The following is an 18,092-nucleotide window of genomic DNA, read 5'->3' on the forward strand; positions in this document are numbered from 1 at the left end:
TGATATCTCATACAACTATTGTGGGCTTTAGCTTCCCGTAGAATTGTGGATGTGCACATAAGGACTGACACGCTGTACTCGGCTCTGATCCCGCATTCATCTGTGTACCCAGGACGTTAGTAGTATTGGACTCTATGCAGACTATGTGATCTTGTGCAGAGCCTGAGTTGTCTTGGTTTTCTCCTCATCTAATTTCTCAAATACTTCATTGAATAACAATTTAAAGGGGCCTAGCAGGTGCCAGGTAATGAGCTTGGGGCTGGAGAGCAGTAAGAGCCAGTTCCTGTTCTCAAGCAACTCACTCGGTGGGGCAAACCACACATTCCGCAAGAGCTTGCACTCACGCTCAGGAGATCACATTTAAAATCAAGAAAGCCCAGTCAAGGTATGTGGTATGGTTTAGACCTGTGTCCTGCCCAAACTTCACGTCGAATTGAAGTCCCCAGTGTTGGAGGTGGGGCCTGGTGGGAGATGACTGGATCATGGGGGTGGTTTTCTCATGGTTTAACACCATCTCCCTTGGTGCTGTTCTCATGATAATGAGTTCTCATGAGATCTGGTGATTTAAAAGTGTATAGTAAGGCCAGGCACAGTGGCTCATGCCTGTAATCCCAACACTTTGGGAGGCCGAGGCGGGTGGATCATTTGAGGTCATGAGTTCAAGACCAGCCTGGCCAACATGGTAAAACCCCACCTCTACTAAAAAATAAAATAAAATACAAAATACAAAAATTAGCTGGGAGTGGTGGCAGGTGCCTGTAGTCCCAGCTACTCAGGAGGATGAGTCAGGAGAATCACTTGAACTCAGGAGGTGGAGGCTGCAATGAGCCAAGACTGCACCACTGCACTACAGCCTTGGTGAAAGAGCGAGACTGTCTCAAAAAAAAAAAAAAAAAAAAAAAAAAAAGAAACTGTGTAGTACATTCCCCCTTACTCTCTCTTGCTCCTGTTCCTGTCATGTGAGACAACTGCTCCCCTTTCGTCTTTCACAATGATGGTAAGCTTCCTGAAACCTCCCCAGAAGCTGAGCAGATGCCAGCATCATGCTCCCTCCACAGCCTGCAAAACAGTGAGCCAATTAAACTTCTTTTCTTTATAAATTATCCAGTCTCGGGTATTTCTATAGCAATGTGAGAACAGACTAATATAACATGCCTGCCTGACTGCCCAAATTCTAAATGTCTGTTTCTGTCTGCCCCACAAGTTCCAACACATTCCTTTTCAGCTAAGACACAGAAACGGGAGCTAAAAGGTAATCTATTATACCATTAGTACCAAAATCGGGTGCAGAGCTTCAGGTCTGACCAGAAAGTGAGTCTAGTCTAGGAGAAAGGAGCAGATAACACCACACAGGAGGAGGTGGCATGAGGTTGTGAGGCTCAACTGTGGCCCCTGCGTGCCTAGTCCCTAGCACTAGTTCCTAGTGCTCAAGTGCCTCTGTGAGACTCCAGGGGCATTTTTAATCAATGTATGATCTGATGCTCCAAAAGTCTGAGGCTACTTAATTGCAGCACTGTGACCTAGGTGGCTGGACCACCAGGAAGTACCCAAGAATCCCCCAATCCACTAAGGGGGATGAGCCTCCACACTCGGGGAGCCTTCCATCCCAGATAGTGACCCCAGGATGCTAGAAAGAGCACACTGATTTAGCCACTTTGCTTTTCTTTGCCATCCTACTTTGCTACAGTTTTCAATAAACTTCAGTACCTCGCAGTAAGTTGGACCTAAAGAAGAATTTAGCAATGTAAGTGGAATTCATAGAGGCAGAGTTGCACTGCTGAGAGGGACACCTGCAAGTGAATCAGGTTAGATTGCTCCCAGACATACACTACTCCCCGTCACCACCTAAATGTCATCACTGAAATGAAACACAGAAACACACTCGTGAAATCATAGATTTATATCTTTGCCATTTATTTTTTAAAATCTTATTCAAAATATTAAATAATAGTTTCAGATATGAAAAAAATTACTGCAATAAAACGGTTCAGGGGTATTTCCATTGTGCTTCCCTTCCCTATTAGGAAAGTACACTGTCCGCCCAAGAGACAGGATGGACGGCCTTCTTCCAGCTCTACATAAAGCGCAAGCCCACTGGCTCACCCGGGTCCTGCTTAACATATATTAGGGCTATGTTTTCTAAAAAGCTGTAGTGACACTTGTAAGTCAACCATGGTTCAAATCACATATTTACATATTGATCAATTCTTTATGATAGAAAGACAGACATAAATGAATCCCATAGTAAATACTTTCCAGTTGCCATAAAAAACAAAAACAAAGAAAACAAGTGTGGGGGAAAAAAGGTAATTGTACACAAATATCCTTTATGTATACAAACAACTTCATTCAGGTATAATTTTAATTTGAAAGACCTAGGTACAGTATTATTTAAGTGATAATGACCCCTAAGATTTATTCAAATTTACTGTAAAATAATAAACGAAGTAAACGAATCTGATATAATTTTAAACTCTGCCCATTGCTTGAAACCTTGGAGGAACCCATGCTACAATCAATTGCTAACTAAAAGCAATTGTACATGTATTTAACATTTTACCAGTTTCTGCTTCTAAATTTAATATAGTAATTCCAACCAAAAAAATAGTATCTCTGTAACATTTTATCTATGTCCACTGCAAGCTGCAGAGTCTCTGTTGCCAAGATTTCTTGACACATTTAATGTTTTACCTAAAATTGTGGTCAGATTGAGCAATATCATTATCCTAAATTATGTTTAAATTATCTAAAAATATCCAAAGCAGTTTTCTTGGAAGAAAAAAAAATATTACTCAAATCCAAAGCATTATCACACATATCCTTGTACATTACAGTTTGGGAACAAAAAAAAATGTGGATAAAAAATAGTATTTGAATGGCGGAGAATGAATGTGAGTCAGCAGTAACAGATATGTCAGAATTTAGTTACAAGTTTGGGATCTTTTAAAAGTAGCATCACTAATACTTCCAGAAGAAGCATAATAAATCTAAAACAATAAAAACTAACAGTGTAAATATAAGGTAATGTTTAACTCACATTTTGGACACCTGATTAAACTCAGCTCTAAAAGTACAGATAAAAAATTATATACTCGTTTGTGACATTTAATTTCCAAAGCACCAAGGCAAAAGAGAGACTCACCTCTCATTTAAGTACCAATTGCCTATGGCAAACATTTGCACAATATCATATAAAAAGTCAAGCAAATAAAATTACATAAGCAAATTCAAATCACAGTGCTTTAAAAAATATAATCATTGGTAATCTTCAAAGAAGGCATTGCCTCATTAACATTCTGATCTAGGCGATGGTATTCCACTGTTTTGGAACAAAGGCCATCACGCCATTTCCTGCTTTGAACCAGAAGAAAAATCTGGAAAACAGAAGTCATTAAATAGGCAAAAGAGAAAACAGAGAATATGGTAAACATTTTTATAACAAGTAAAATATCTCTCTTCTAGGTTTCTAAATATAAAACACAAAATATCAACAACAAAAAAGCTATTTTAGGCCGAGGCAGGCAGATCACTTGAGCCCAGGAGTCCGAGACCAGCCTAAGCAACATGGTGAAACACCATCTCTACAAAAAATACAAAATTAGCCAGGCATGGAGGCGCTTGCCTGTAGTCCCAGCTACTCAGGAGGCTAAGGTGGAGGATCACTCGAGCCCAGGAGGCAGAGATCACAGTAAGCCATGACAGCACCACAACACTTCAGCCTGGGTGACAAAGCAAGACCCTGTCTCAAAAAAAAAAAAAAACAAAAGCTATTTTGCTTTCCATCTTGTAAAGAAGGCTAAACAGTGCTTCTCAAATTTCAATATATATAGGAATGTTTGTTAAAGACTCAGATTCCTAGGCTCTATCTTCAGAGACTGAGTTAGTACTTGAGGTAGAGCCCAGGAACCTACTTGTTTAACAAGTCCCTTTGATGTTCATAATAGAGATGGCCAAACACTAAACAGTGGGATATAATATCAGCAGCACTCAAGGTTCTGTCTACCCATAAACACTTACAAAGCTAGCAATATAGCACTAAATACAAATAACCAGAAGAGTTGGTTGGTTTGCTTTTTTTTGAACTATTATTAGAGTCACTGATTCTCAAAGCAGGAAGGCATTTTGAAATTATCAGGTCCAGTTTCACTATTTGTCAGGTAAGGAAATCAAGGCCCCGAAGGGGAAGGTGGCTTACAGTGTTACAAAGCAAGTTACAATAAAGTCAAGAACTGAGACTTCCTGACCAGTAAGTATTAAAAAGGAACTGTGTGTTTGATCTCCCTTTAAGGATTTTAAAAGGCTTAACTATTCAGCTTTGGGACTGTAGAGTGCCAACATGTACCCTCACACTAAATGTGATGTATCCTGTCCTACAGATGTCTCTTGTGCCTCATGTAATCCAGCAAACTGGTAACAGCACAGAAATGTTCATCACAATATTATTTCTGAACCAAAAATTGTAAACCATGAATCTAGTATGTTTTTAGCCAGGCACAGTGGCTCACGCCTATAATCTCAATTACTTGGGAGGCTGAAGTGGGAGGATTACTTGAGGCCAGGAGTTCACCAGCGTGGACAACATAGCAAGATCCTGTCTCAAAAAAAAATAATGTTTTTAAAGAATATTAAGGATATGGAAAATGCTCATGATTGGTCAGGACATAAAACTCTATGAGATAGCTGGGTGCAGTGGCTCATGCCTGTAATCCCAGCGTTTTGGGAGGCTGAAGTGGGTGGATCACTTGAGGCCAGGAGTTTGAGACCAGCCTGGCCAACATGGCAAAACCCCGTCTCTACTAAAAATACGAAAATTAGCCAGGCGTGGTGGCCTGCGCCTGTAGTCCCAGTTACTCAAGAGGCTGAGCCATGAAAATCGCTTGAACCTGGGAGGTGGAGGTTGCAGTGAGCCGAGATCGCACCACTGCTCTCCAGCCTGGGAGACAAAGTGAAGCTCTGTCTCAAAAAAAAAAAAAAAAAAAAAAAAAAAACTCTGTGAGATAAAATTCCTTAAAAATCATTACATACACCTATATGTATAAATTATATGCACATTTATAGACCAGAAATACACCAAAACGTTAATGCTGAGAAGTAGTTTAAATTTTCTTTTCTAAACTCTTCTGTTTTCTGAATTCCCTAAAATAAATGTGTAACACTTTATAACCAGAAAAAAAATCAAAAGATTAAGTTCAATGTTAATAAATTAAAAGACAAATATTAAATTAACATTTTCTCCACAAGTATTCCTACTGAAGTAATGATGCCAAATTAAGACATAAACTCTTAAAAAAAAAATCACTGGGCTTTGGTATTACTCATTAAGAAATAGGACTATTTCTTTTTTTAGAAGTACATACATTCAAGCATTCTGTCTGCAGTGTGTTAAAATACACAATAGATTTACATGCTGATTAGACATCTCAATATTTTACTATGAATTTAAACTTCACTGAAAAAAAGGAAAGAGGGCTGGGCATGGTGGCTCATGTCTGTAATCCCAACACTTTGGGAGGCCGAGGCGGGAGGACTGCTTGAGCCTGGGAGTTCAAGAACAGCCTGGGCAAAATAGCGACACCTCGTCTCTACAAACAATAATTTTTAAAATTTTAATTTAATAATTTTTAAAAATTAGCCAGGTGTGGTAGTGTGAATCTGTAGTCCCACCAACTCGACAGGCTGAGGCAAGAGAATCACTTAAGCCTAGGAGGTCGAGGCTCCAGTGAGCTGTGATTGTGCCACTGTACTCCAGCTTGGTTGACAGAGTGAAACCCACTACACTTTTTTTTGCAAAAAAAAAAAAAAAAAAAAAAAAGAACCATGAATCATCAAAAGCATTATGACTGAAATAATAAAGGGCTAAAAAAATCCCAAACCTACCTTCCTTTTGTTGTGATATGTAATGTAAACAACAGCAATGCAAAAAGCAAAAATAATAAGATGAAAAAAGAAATGGCTGTCTTCCTCTTCTATATTTGAGGATGGCATCTTAAAAGATTTCACTGACTGTTCAATTTCCATGTAACCCCTGTTTTCTTCCAAGGTGTCATCAGACTCGTCGTCGTCCCTGGGGCCCGTGGTCCAGTCATAGTCTGGTTCTCCATAATCGCCATTGTCTAGAGTGTCTTTGGCTGTGGATGGAGAACTGTTCAGCATGAGAAGATCCTCCTCCTCTATACTAGGATCTTCATTGTTATCAGCTTCCTCTTGAGACAGAGGAGTAGGCGAGGGATGAGGGACCACAGATGCTCCTCCACTTTTCTTGGTACTCGTCGTGGGAGGGAGGGTGGTGCTGATTTGGGAAATAGAAGGTTTGGTTTGGTTTTCATGTGTTAAAGCATTCACATTTGGGGTAGAAATATGTGAGTTGAGTACGGTTGGGCTCGGTGAATCAGTCCGTGATACAACTGAAACAAACAAAGAATATCAAACTGAAATCTCCAACTTTATCTCCACCAAGCTAAAAGCATATTTACCCAAATTTTACACTAAGCATTTCTCTCTGCTACATTCCTATAACTTTCTCGAAAACTAGTTATTAAGTCTCAATAGCCAGCATTCAGTTACATTTCTTCTTAGTCAGTTATTCTTCAGATAATAATTGCTTTGCTAGATACTAACAATTTAAGCAGCATAAAAGACCTACTGCATCATACAGCCTGCCACCAAAAGAAAAGAAAAAGGGCTGACTTTAAGTCACGATGGCAAAGTTCACATACAGCCCTCACCCATCCCCTCTGTTTTCATTTCATAAAGGGTGTGGATTTCAGTTACCTTGTCCAGACTTTACCTGATCCCTAGAACAGACCAAAAAGTGGCTGATTCTCACTCAAGTAGGTCCCAAAAAAGATATGGAGTTTGGACCTAAATACTTTCAACACAACATAACAAATTCAGGGGAAGCTATAGGCATGCTGTAGATAGTAATTCTAAGTGATACTTGAACTAGAGGACTCCCTCTCCTAAATTCAAAAAAAAAGAAGGATCCTTACAAAGAAGAAAAAACTTCTAAAGGAGAAGCATCCGAAACGGGAACCTGAGAGCTAAGTGACAACTAGACTATTTTGAAGATGAGGGAAGGCATCTAGGTATAGCAAATGACACCAAATACACACACATTCTTATTTCCCTGTGCTGCTACCTACTCAGCATAGTTTACTAAAGGTAAAATTCTTTACATAAGAATTCTTACTATTCTTTTACCAAGAAGAATGAATAGAGGAAGATTCCAGAGGAATCCCTGCCGAAATTTAACCATCTCTAATTTATAATCTAATGTAGTATCTGTTGAAGAACTTCAAGGACCTCTACTACACTAAAAAAATAAAAAAAAAAAACCTCTGTCATGTAGATCTAAACATATTCAGACAATATTTTAAAGTCTATCACATTAAAGTAAAATATTTTATAGGGGTAAGATTAAACCAAGTCATTCTAGTGCTTTCACAAACATGTGCATTCACACAAGTTAACAATCCAACAGACAACCCTTTCTTCATGTGAATACACTCTGGTTTGTGTACCACAGTTGACATCCATTTTGTGTAGAAAAAAAAAGAAATAGCTGGTGTCAATTAGAATGAACAGAGGATCTCAGAAAAATAATGTAGTCAGTTAGTAAAAAAAAAAAAAAAAAAAAAAAAAAAAAAAGGCCAGGCCCTGTGGCTCACGCCTGTAATCCCAGCACTTTGGGAGGCCGAGGCAGGCTGAACATGAGGTCAGGAGCTCGAGACCATCCTGGCTAACATGATGAAACCCGGTCTCTACTAAAAAATACAAAAAATTAGCCAGGCATGGTGGCAGGCACCTGTAGTCCCAGCTACTCGGGAGGCTGAGGCAGGACAATGGCGTGAACCTGGGAGGTGGAGGTTGCAGTGAGCCGAGATGGCGCCACTGCACTCTAGCCTGGCCGACAGAGCAAGACCACATCTCAAAAAAAAAAAAAAAAAACCAATAAATTAGTAAAACTCTCTTTTTCCCTTTTTTTTTTTTGACAGGGTCTCACTCTGTTGCCCAGGCTGAAATGCAGTAGCACAAACATAGCTCACTGTAGCCTCGACCTCCTGGTTTCAAGCCCCCCATGTAGCTGGGACCACAGGCACATGCTACCCTGCCTGGCTTTTTTTATTTTTCATATATTTGTCCAATGCCATATGCAATTTTTTTTTTTTTTTGAGACAGCATCTTGCCATGTTGCCCAGGCTGCTCTCATATTCCAGGGTTCAAGAAATCCTCCCACCTTGGCCTCCCAAAGTACTGGGATTACAGTAAAACTCTTAAAACATTTTCAATAATTGAGTTCCTTGAAATTTTTTACTGGAAGAAAAGAGAAATAAACAGGACCTACAACTCAGTACATTACTCAGAAAACTACTAACAGGAATTTCTGAAAATAATTTTTGCATTTATCACTTCAACTTAGTTATAATTCAAGAATTTAAAAATTATTATTTTCTGATACATTTAATTTTCCTGCCAAAGTACAAAAAACATGTTTTAAAATAAAATTTAAAATTGAAATAAGTGGGAGCCAACTAACTAAACTTAACTTTTAAAAGAACAATTTTTCCATGGGTAAGTACCTTTAAAGGACACAAGCTGATAGGGTGGGAATAATTATAAAGAAATTTCCACCACGCAGTATAGAATTCACAGTCATCAGCAAATCCCTTCTTTCACCCTTTGCTTTCTTGTTATTACTGAAACCTGACTCTCCCTTAAGGACACATTTTCCTTTCAGCCTGTTTAAGTAATAGCTGTTTTTTCTCCCACATCCTTGAACCACTGAATCTCAAGGAGGCACAGTTCTCCTCCTCATTGCCCTTTTCAGACCATTCTCCCGTTCTTCTCCCTAAATGCCTCTAGCTTTGATTCTCTTATCTTAAGCTATAATGCACTAACTTACTTTCATCCAACTCCAAAGTCATGCCCCCTAATTCTTAATGATCTTTAGCTCCTGGCTCTAGAGTTCACTCCATCTAAGACAAGTACTCCTGCCTTGATTTCAAAATCTTTGACCTCCTCTCTTCTCATGAGCTAGCCCTCCTCTTTACCTCAGCCACTCACTCCCAGAGTCATTATTTATTATCACAATTCTTCCATAATCTCAATTTCATGCATTCTACTTGCTGGCAAGACCTCCTATCCTTCCAGTTCATTCCCTGGTATTCTCAATCCATAAACACCTACAACCCTCTAATCCTTTTCATTCCCTTACGGTCACCATCAAAACTTGCCCAATACACTCTCTTCTCTCTTTATTCAGATTCAATTCTGTGTCAGCTATTATAATTGCTTATAATCACTCTCTTACATCCATCTTCAATTCCCTTCCCCCTTGTCCACTTTGACCCATTCACTTGGTGAGACTACACTCATCCCTAGTTATTAATAAATCAAGCTCTCTGACTACTCACATCTGCACCCAGCAGCTGAACATGGCTAGAAAAAATATACAACCATGCCACTGTTTTCATTTCATTTTAAATTCAATGCCAAAGATTCAGGTGTATGTTTAAAGCTGTTGGCAATTAAAATTGTTGGCAATCATATTTTCCTAGTCCATTTACCCTTCTACTCTCTTAGGACACCAATCACATTTTCCTCTAACCACAAACTTCAAATGTCTTCTCTGTTATCCTCATTTTCAACTGATGACATCACTTCCTAACTTTTCTGAGAAAAATTAAAAGAACTTCCAAGAACGACCAGAATTCTAGACTCATAAATCCAACCACCTACTTGACATCTCCTCTTAGATGTCTGACATTCACATTAATATGTTCAAAATGAATTCTGGCTGGCTTTCAGGAAGACAAACACACTCTTCCCTGTTTCTCCCACTAAAAACAACTAAAAGCTCTGAACATTATGTATAAAATAACACAAGAACACTCTGAAAGGTGGAAAGAACTGGGTAGAACAGTTAGAGACCTCAGGATATGTGAAACAACATGGTGGTGACTTCCTTAGGTTTTTCTTTTTACCTCATATATCCCAGGCTAAAGACAAAAAATAAAAATGGCAGACTTCAGCTCTAACATATCCATAGTGCAGTAAATGTAAATGACCTAAATACATCAATTAAAAAACAGAGACTGGCAGACTCAACTACATGATGTCCATAGAAAGCTCATTTTATTTTTTTCTTTTTGAGACAGGGTCTCGCTTTGTCACTTAGGCTGGAGTGCTGCACAAACACATTCATAGCAGCTTTATTCATAATAGCCAAAAACTGGAAACAATCAGGCATCCTTCAACAGATAAATAAAGTGTAGTCTACCTATACCATAGAATATTACTCAGCAATTTAAAGGAACAAACAACCAGGACTGGTGGCTCACACCTGTAATCTGGGCACTTTGGGAGGCCAAGGCAGGTGGATCACAAGGTCAGGAGTTCGAGACCAGCCTGGCCAAAATGGTGAAACCCCATCTCTACCAAAAATACAAAAATTAGCTGGGTGTGGTGGTGTGCACCTACAATCCCAGCTACTCTGGAGGCTGAGACAGGAGAACTGCTTGAACCTGGGAGGCGGAGGTTGCAGTGAGCCGAGATCGTGCCATTGCACTCCAGCCTGGAGTGCAAGACTTACTCTCGAAAAAATAAAAGTTAAAATTTAAAAAGGAACAAACTATTGACACATGTAACAACCTAGGTGAATCTTCAGAGAATTATGCTAAGTGAAAAAAAGTCAATCCCAAAAGTTACATACTGTATTATTCCATTTATGTAAGATTCTCAAAATTACCAACTTATACAAATGGATAATTTGTGGTTACCAGGAGTTCAGGAGGGGTGAGGTAGGAGGGAAGTGGGGTGGCTTTATAAGGGCAATATGAGATATCCTTGTGGTGATGGTAATGCCCCGTATTTTGACTGTACCAATGTTAATATCCTGGTCGTGATATTGCACTATTGTTTTGAAAGACGTTACTATTAGGAAAACTGGGTAGGGGATATGCAGGATCTCTATATTATTTCTTACAACTGCCAAGTGAATCTATAATTATCTCAAAATAAGTTTAAATAAATTCCTATGCCCCACTCAAAAAACAAAAAAACTTGTTCTACTTAGTCTCCATCTCAATTAATGGCAACTACATCTTTGTAGTTACTAAAACTAAAAACCTTGGAGTTGTCATTTTTTTTAACATCCCACATCCAATCTGTTATTCTGACATATGCAGCATTTGAGGGCTTTTCACCCTCCACTGCTCCTGCCTCATCCAAGTAACCATTATCTCACATGGATTATTACAATAGCCTCCTAATTAATCTGCCTGCTTCCACCCTAACTTCTACTGTCTATACTCAACACAGCAGCCAGAGTCATTCTGTCAAAACTTAAATCAAATGTTACTCCTCTACTTAAGACCCTCTAGGGCCATCCATTTCTCACAAAAGTGAAAATTTTTATAATAGCCTTCAAGATCCTACATGATCTGGCCCCCATTACCTCACTCTCATTATCTTACTAATCTCCCTAACAGCTCTATCCCCATTACCTACTTAATAGATAGCAGGCACTCAATAAATATTTATTGAATATGCTCTCGATTCAACTCTCACCACAAATCCCACACCACATCCCACATAGCATCTATGCACCTACTGCACTCCCTCAAGAGCCCATGCCATGGTTCTCAGCAAAACGCCACTCATTCTTCTAAGGATACCCCCAGTATCACCCTATTCATTGTTTAACTCCAATACCTAGCACCAAGTAGGAGCAGAATGTCTTAGTCAAGCAGTAAAATCTTGGAAGTAATACACAAATACAGCACAAGAAAAAACAAATAATTGACCTGAAACATGTAATACAAAGGCTATCAACTTACTCAAACTCCTTCAAATCAGAGAAGTTGATTAAGTCAGATATGAAGAGTATTCAGAACAAAGGTACAACTCTGACTTTACGGATTTAACTGTTGACCTTCTATGAGCATATAAATAAGACTTCTAAATCTTCCCTTTCCTAATTGATATTACCTCTCTACTTGAAGCTTAACATTTTAAAAATAAAGCTTAGGCCGGACACGGTGGCTCACGCCTGTAACCCTAGCACTTTGGGAGGCCAGGGCAAGTGGATCGCTTAAGCACAGGAATTCAAGACCAGCCTGGCCAACATGGCAAAACCCCATCTCTACAAAAATACAAAAATCAGCTGAGCACGGTGGCAGGCACCTGTGGTCCCAGCTATTCAGGGGGCTGAAGTGGGAGGACTGCTTGAGCCCAGGAGGCGGAAGTTGCAATGGGCCAAGTTTGTGCTACTGCACTCCAGCCTGGGCGACAGAGCAAAACCCTGTCTCAAACAAACAAACAAAAAAGGCTGGGCACAGTGGCTCAGGCCTGTAATCCCAGCACTTTGGGAGGCCAAGGCGGGCGGATCACGAGGTCAGGAGATTGAGACCATCCTGGATAACACGGTGAAACCCCGTCTCTACTAAAAATACAAAAACTAGCCAGGTGTGGTGCGCGCCTGTAGTCCCAGCATACTCGGGAGGCTGAGGCAGAAGAATCACTTGAAACCGGGAGGCGGAGGTTGCAATGAGCCGAGATCACGCCACTGCACTCCAGCCTCGCGACAGACTCAAAAAAAAAACAAAAAACAAAACTTTATAAATTTAATTCTCCCCTTCTACTGGTCCCTTTTTAAAAACTGCCCTAAAATAAAACTATATCAGCATTTCTTAAACTTAAGAATGCAGAGGACCCCGAGAACTCATTCACACACTGGTTTGAGAAACAATGCCTTAAAAATGAAATGCATTATACATTAAGTTTAGGTGATCATTTGGGGACAATATAATGGCAAATGTAGAGAACCAGGCATTTTTGAAATGGCATGACCAAGAATTAGTCACCCAGTGATCCAAACTGCTTATGTTAATTTTTTAGACTTGATCAAAACAAAAACATAAAACAAAAATTCTTACAGACTGACGAGCATATAACCAAGCATTGACAGTTTTTAAAACCTAATATGGAACAAATTTAAATAAATCTAATGTGGTAACCTTCTACCTTTGTAAACTCACTTGAAATTTGGAACTCAACACATTCTAGACTAATTTTCTTATTACAGGAGTGACTACTTTGAAATTATAAGGTATGCTTACAAAAAATACTTATATCCCAAGCTACACTGTAGTGCAGTGGAGCTGCTCGCCTATTAAAGACATGTATGTTCGTTTTCATTTAGCTTCTTTTCAGGACAGAATAATCTGAATTTATGACATTTTAAACTGGTGTATGTAAAGACTTAATTTAAAAGATAAAGATTCTCTAAAATGTCTCAGTATAGTTAGAAAAATATTTATAGGGCTCTAACAAATAAAAGCAGAGACTAAAGGACACTTAACAGTCCACATTCTGCCTCACTTCTTGCCCAATTTTCAACCATCTCTTAGGGGAAAAAAGCTGTTTCTGAAACTACAGTTGCCAGATATATATCCCTTAAGCATTCCAGCAGGAAATATAAATGTTTGTGTTTTATTTTTCTTAGATGATTAAATGGCCAAAACAATTAAGCTACTTAAGTACTTTAGGAACGGGAATATCTGCATCAACCAGGGAAATCCTCATTACATTTCACTAATGATAAAAGGGCCTTAGGAAATGGACAGCAGTCCTTCCTCAGGGACTGCAAAGACTTCTGGGAGGGCGTCCAGTTAGCAACACTGAAATGTTGCTGAGGAAACATAAGTATGTACCCACAGTACTGTCGCAGAGGAATGTAGGGCTGGACAGGCCCTGCTGGCAAGAAAGAAAACACTATACCAGGTCACACTGTTTTGCAGCTGAAAATTCAAATTTAGGGAGAAACGCAGGACTGTGTCTTGGCCTGAAAGAAAAATGGGACTACTAAACAAAATACCGTTTAATCCTTACAAGTTCTTAATAGTGGATTTTTCCCACCAAGTATCAGGCACTGGTTTACAGATTTCCTAATTTCTCAATAAAAGCCTTCAATCTCTTGATTTCACCATGCAACATTTGCAAGAAATGAAATATTTTATCAATCAAATCCTACAGATGCATTAAAACGAGGCAGGGTTATCCTGGTTAACTCGGAACACAGGGAAGAGGAATCATGATCTCCCTTGTCTCCAAACTCCTCTCTGCCTCCCAAGCCTTCAGGGGCCCAACGCCCCAGTACTCTGAATCTTTATCAAACACCAGAACCTCCCAGTCTTCAAATATGCACCAGTACCCTAAGACAGCTCTTTCCCTTTCACTTTCCCTCTCGGAAATATTCCATTGGTTCAGTCCAGTCACTGGATTACTGCCCCTGCCCGCCTCGGTCTTTACCACTGACCTCTCCCATTCTGGAAAACCCCCACCTTTCCTTGGTCCTGCAAGATTCCTGAGTCCCCCAAACTCAGGACCCTTTCCAGACACCACACCCCCAGCCCCGGCCACCTCCTCAGCCCCTGTCGCCACCCTCTCTTCCAGAGTCTCCTAACTTTCCGATCCAAGAAATTTTGGAGACCCCACCACCGCCATTCCTTGCGGCAGCCCATTCTTCAACGATCTCTAGGCGCTAACACCACTCCTCCCTCCCCGCCCATCTACACACCCTGCTGCCTGCTCCCTGGGTTCCTGCATCTCTCAGGGACCCCGCTTCTCAGGCCCCTTGGAGACCCTACCACCTTGGACCCCTTCAGACACCATACCCTCCGTCCTCAGGCCCGCGGAGACCCTGACCCAACCAGACACCGCCGTCTGCTCCTGACACTTGGAAGCGCCCTTTCCCTGGCCCGGCCTGTCTCCTGCCCTGCGCCCGAGCCCTCCTAGCCTTCCTAAGCCCACACTGCCGCCCCCCTTTACCACTGGATAGAGCGGCGGACACAAGCAGGAGCGCCAAGACCAGCGGCCGCGCCAACCCCACAAGGGCTTGGATGGCCGACCCGGGCAGCAGTTTCGCTTGTGCTGGCCCCCTCATCCTCTTCGGGACGGCAGCGGCCATAACGGACTCGGCTGGGAGCCTGCGCTGTTGCTAGGCTCTACGCCATGAGGTCAGACGCCGCGGCCCTCGGCACATACGTCCCAGCGTGGTGACGTCGAAGCCTGGAGACGTGCTCTGGAAACCGGAATAAGAAGGAAGGATTGCAGGGAGGAGGGAGTTGCCGCTAGGCGAAAGTGGGGACCGCCACACAGTTGGCTGCGGATTAAAGGTAGGGTGTGACGTGCTGAAGAGGGCCAAAGCGAGCCCCTCCCTGCCGCCTGCATGATTGGGTACTATACAGCCAAAAATAGCGTTTTTAGCCATTTTAAAAAGGAAGATCCAGCTGTAGAACAGACTGATCACGAAAGCGAAGTAACTGCTCTTCCTCTCTCAAAGGCGAAAGAAACACAAATGTTAAGTAGTCCTATTTCGGTGATGGGATTATAAGTAATTTTTAAAAATCTTTCCCGACAGTCATTTATTTTTTTTCAACAAAGATTTAGCACCTCTCCCTATTTAAGATACAGCAGTGAACAAAAAGAACCCCCCACCCCCCCGCCCGCCTTGGCAGTTTATTTTCTTGTGAGGGCGAATATGGTGTAAAATACACACTATACAAGATGATAAAGATATTATGGACCGGCCCTAGTGCAGTGGCTCCCAGCACTTTGGGAGGCCGAGGAGGGCAGATCACCTGAGGTCCGGAGTTGGAGACCAGCCTGGCCAACATGGAGAAACCCCGACTCTACTAAAAATACAAAAATTAGCCAGGCGTGGTGGCGCGTGCCTGTAATCGCAGCTACTCGGGAGGCTGAGGTAGGAGAATCGCTGTAACCCGGGAGGTGGAGGCTGCAGGGAGCCGAGATGCCACTGCACTCTAGCCTGGGCCACAGACTCCGTCTCAAAAAAAAAAAAAAAATTATGGAGGAAAAGAAAGGAAGGTAGCTAGGAAGTAGAGGTGAGGGGCTGCCATTGAAAATAACTTTCAGATTTCCTAAAATAAGCTTCTCTTTTTAAATTTTGTTACTTGAAATCCCCAGTGTATAAAAATGCAAACTTACAAACTTCCAAGAAGTTCACCTAGGGCCCTGGCGCCATACTTTGCTCTGTGTGTACGTTCTGTAAATGTCTCCTTAATAAACAGATACAGGCTTCAATTCATAAAAGTTCCATTTGATCAATTTCAGGAAAATCAATGTGACGTTAAGCAAGACATTTATTGTGCCCACAGCTTCACCATTCTGGTCTCTATGATTCCCTGCGAAGATTGCTGTTATCCCCCAGAGACACAGCTGAGCTGTCTCTCTAAAGGGCCTGTGTTCTACTCCTGAATCTGGTTTCCCCTAAGCTTTTATCTCACCCTGGTGACAGCTCAGAAACACACAAACTCTGTGTTAAGAAAACTAAGAAGTCATTCATCTGCACATTTCCCGAAATCCCCCAGAAGCCCGTATTAGACTGAATGGTGTCCTTATTGCAAACTCTCCACTTTAGCCAAGGTGCAAAGTCCTCCCAGTCCCCCAGGAGCTTCCCTTCTCTGAGCGGTACTTAAGTTTTCTGTAAAACCACTCAGTTCAACAAATGAGCTTCTCAATCTTAGTTTCTGCTTGTTGACTTTAAAGTTAATCTATAATAAACACACTGCAGTCCTCTTCCCTGACTCATTGTCCACTTTGTCCATTTGTGTCCTCATACCAGATTGTCTCAATTCTCTTAACTGGTGAGATATTATGAACTCAAAGCATTTTGCACAATGATATTCCAACATGCTGCATGCAACAAGCAGACAATAAGTAACTAGTGAGGGAAATATTCCCTCATACTCAAGAGAACCCTTTATACATTTTTAAATATTTTAGGGCCAGGCTTATGCCTGTAATCCCAAGTACTCGGGAGGCTGAGATGGGAGGATCACAGGAGCCCAGGAGTTCAAGGCTGCAGTGAGCTATGATGATGACAGTGCACTTCAGTCTGGGTGACAGAGTAAGACTGTCTCTAAAAGTAAAATATCTTAATACTGTACCTGACATCTGACTAGATGTACCCAGCAACCACTATGTGCCATAATCTCTGGATAAATTCTATGAACATTCACTTAGAAATAGCTGCAAGTCCCTGAAGACAGTATGACAAATACTGAGGCCCACAGTTTTTGGGTGATCAGTTGCATAAAATGCTAAAATAGATGGTTCCTGTTTTGAATGTCACTTTCAAACATAGAAAAAAAAGGAATTCTGCTGAAAAATCATGAATGGAAAAAAATGTTCATATTTGTTGAAGCTGGATCATGCATAGAGTTTATTACTATTTGTGTTTCCACAATAGGCTGGATGTGGTGGCTCACGCCTGTAATCCCAGCACTTTTGGAGGCCAAGGTGAGCAGATCACCTGAGGTCAGGAGTTTGAGACCAGCCTGACCAACATGGAGAAACCCCATCTCTACTAAAAATACAAAATTAGCCGGGTGTGGTGGCAAATGTTTGTAATCCTAGCTACTCGGGAGGCTGAGGCAGGAGAATTGCTTGAACCCAGGAGGCGGGGAGGCTGAGGCAGGAGAATTGCTTGAACCCAGGAGGCGGAGCTTGCAGTGAGCAGACATTGTGCGCCATTGCATTCCAGCCTGGGCAACAAGAATGAAACTCCGCCTCAAAAAAAAAAAAATCCACCATCAAGTTATTAAAAACATATAAATATATGGGAGAATTCCAAAATCACCCCTTCCCATGACCCATATGGAGGGACCTACAAACATGAAAGGATATTACCAGTGATTAGGTTACTTTACCTGGCAGTTAACTTGAAGGGAGATTACCCTCATTGGGCCTAACCTAATCAGGTGAGTCCTTAAAAGAGTTGGGGCTCTACCTGGAGGAGACTGGAAGTGTGAGAGGGATTTCACATGAGGGAGTTTTTCTGTTTCTGGCTTTGGCGATGGAGGGGACCCCATGGCAAGGAATGCTGGCATCCTCTGAGCACTGAGAGTGGCTCAGCCAACAAAGAAATAGGGACCTCTGTCCTACAACTGAAAATAACTGAATTCCACCACAACCCTGAAAGCCTGGAAGAGGACGCCAAGCCCCCAGATAAAATGAGAAGACAGCCTGGTCGACACCCTAATTCCAGCATTGTGAGAAGCTAAGCACAG

The 18,092-nt window shown here is 41.3% G+C and overlaps 1 protein-coding gene and 1 long non-coding RNA gene across 2 annotated transcripts, besides 4 other annotated features; one reads left to right on the top strand and one right to left on the bottom strand.

Annotated features, from left to right (window-relative positions):
* Window positions 1-1,893: 1,893 nt before the first annotated feature.
* C5orf15 (chromosome 5 open reading frame 15) lies at window positions 1,894-15,009 on the bottom strand. The gene is made up of 3 exons (NM_020199.3): window positions 14,830-15,009; window positions 5,878-6,404; window positions 1,894-3,374 (listed from the first exon to the last, which is right to left on the bottom strand). Exons 1-3 carry the CDS (start codon window positions 14,966-14,968, stop codon window positions 3,243-3,245), a joined length of 798 nt encoding a protein of 265 aa, NP_064584.1. The 5' UTR covers window positions 14,969-15,009; the 3' UTR covers window positions 1,894-3,242.
* Window positions 3,845-3,894: an enhancer, noted in NCBI's record as "active region_23109". NCBI's record gives its function as "activates an Ori minimal core promoter by ATAC-STARR-seq in GM12878 lymphoblastoid cells {active_cell/tissue: GM12878}" and the evidence as "EXISTENCE:reporter gene assay evidence [ECO:0000049][PMID:35858748]".
* Window positions 3,905-3,954: an enhancer, noted in NCBI's record as "active region_23110". NCBI's record gives its function as "activates an Ori minimal core promoter by ATAC-STARR-seq in GM12878 lymphoblastoid cells {active_cell/tissue: GM12878}" and the evidence as "EXISTENCE:reporter gene assay evidence [ECO:0000049][PMID:35858748]".
* Window positions 14,203-14,302: an enhancer, noted in NCBI's record as "active region_23111". NCBI's record gives its function as "activates an Ori minimal core promoter by ATAC-STARR-seq in GM12878 lymphoblastoid cells {active_cell/tissue: GM12878}" and the evidence as "EXISTENCE:reporter gene assay evidence [ECO:0000049][PMID:35858748]".
* Window positions 14,933-15,152: an enhancer, noted in NCBI's record as "active region_23112". NCBI's record gives its function as "activates an Ori minimal core promoter by ATAC-STARR-seq in GM12878 lymphoblastoid cells {active_cell/tissue: GM12878}" and the evidence as "EXISTENCE:reporter gene assay evidence [ECO:0000049][PMID:35858748]".
* On the top strand, window positions 15,073-16,607 carry LOC105379183 (uncharacterized). The gene is made up of 2 exons (NR_134247.1): window positions 15,073-15,176; window positions 16,135-16,607. It is a non-coding gene; the product is annotated as an uncharacterized LOC105379183 (long non-coding RNA).

This window comes from Homo sapiens, chromosome 5 (assembly GCF_000001405.40).
Source record: "Homo sapiens chromosome 5, GRCh38.p14 Primary Assembly".
Lineage (NCBI taxonomy): Eukaryota > Metazoa > Chordata > Mammalia > Primates > Hominidae > Homo > Homo sapiens.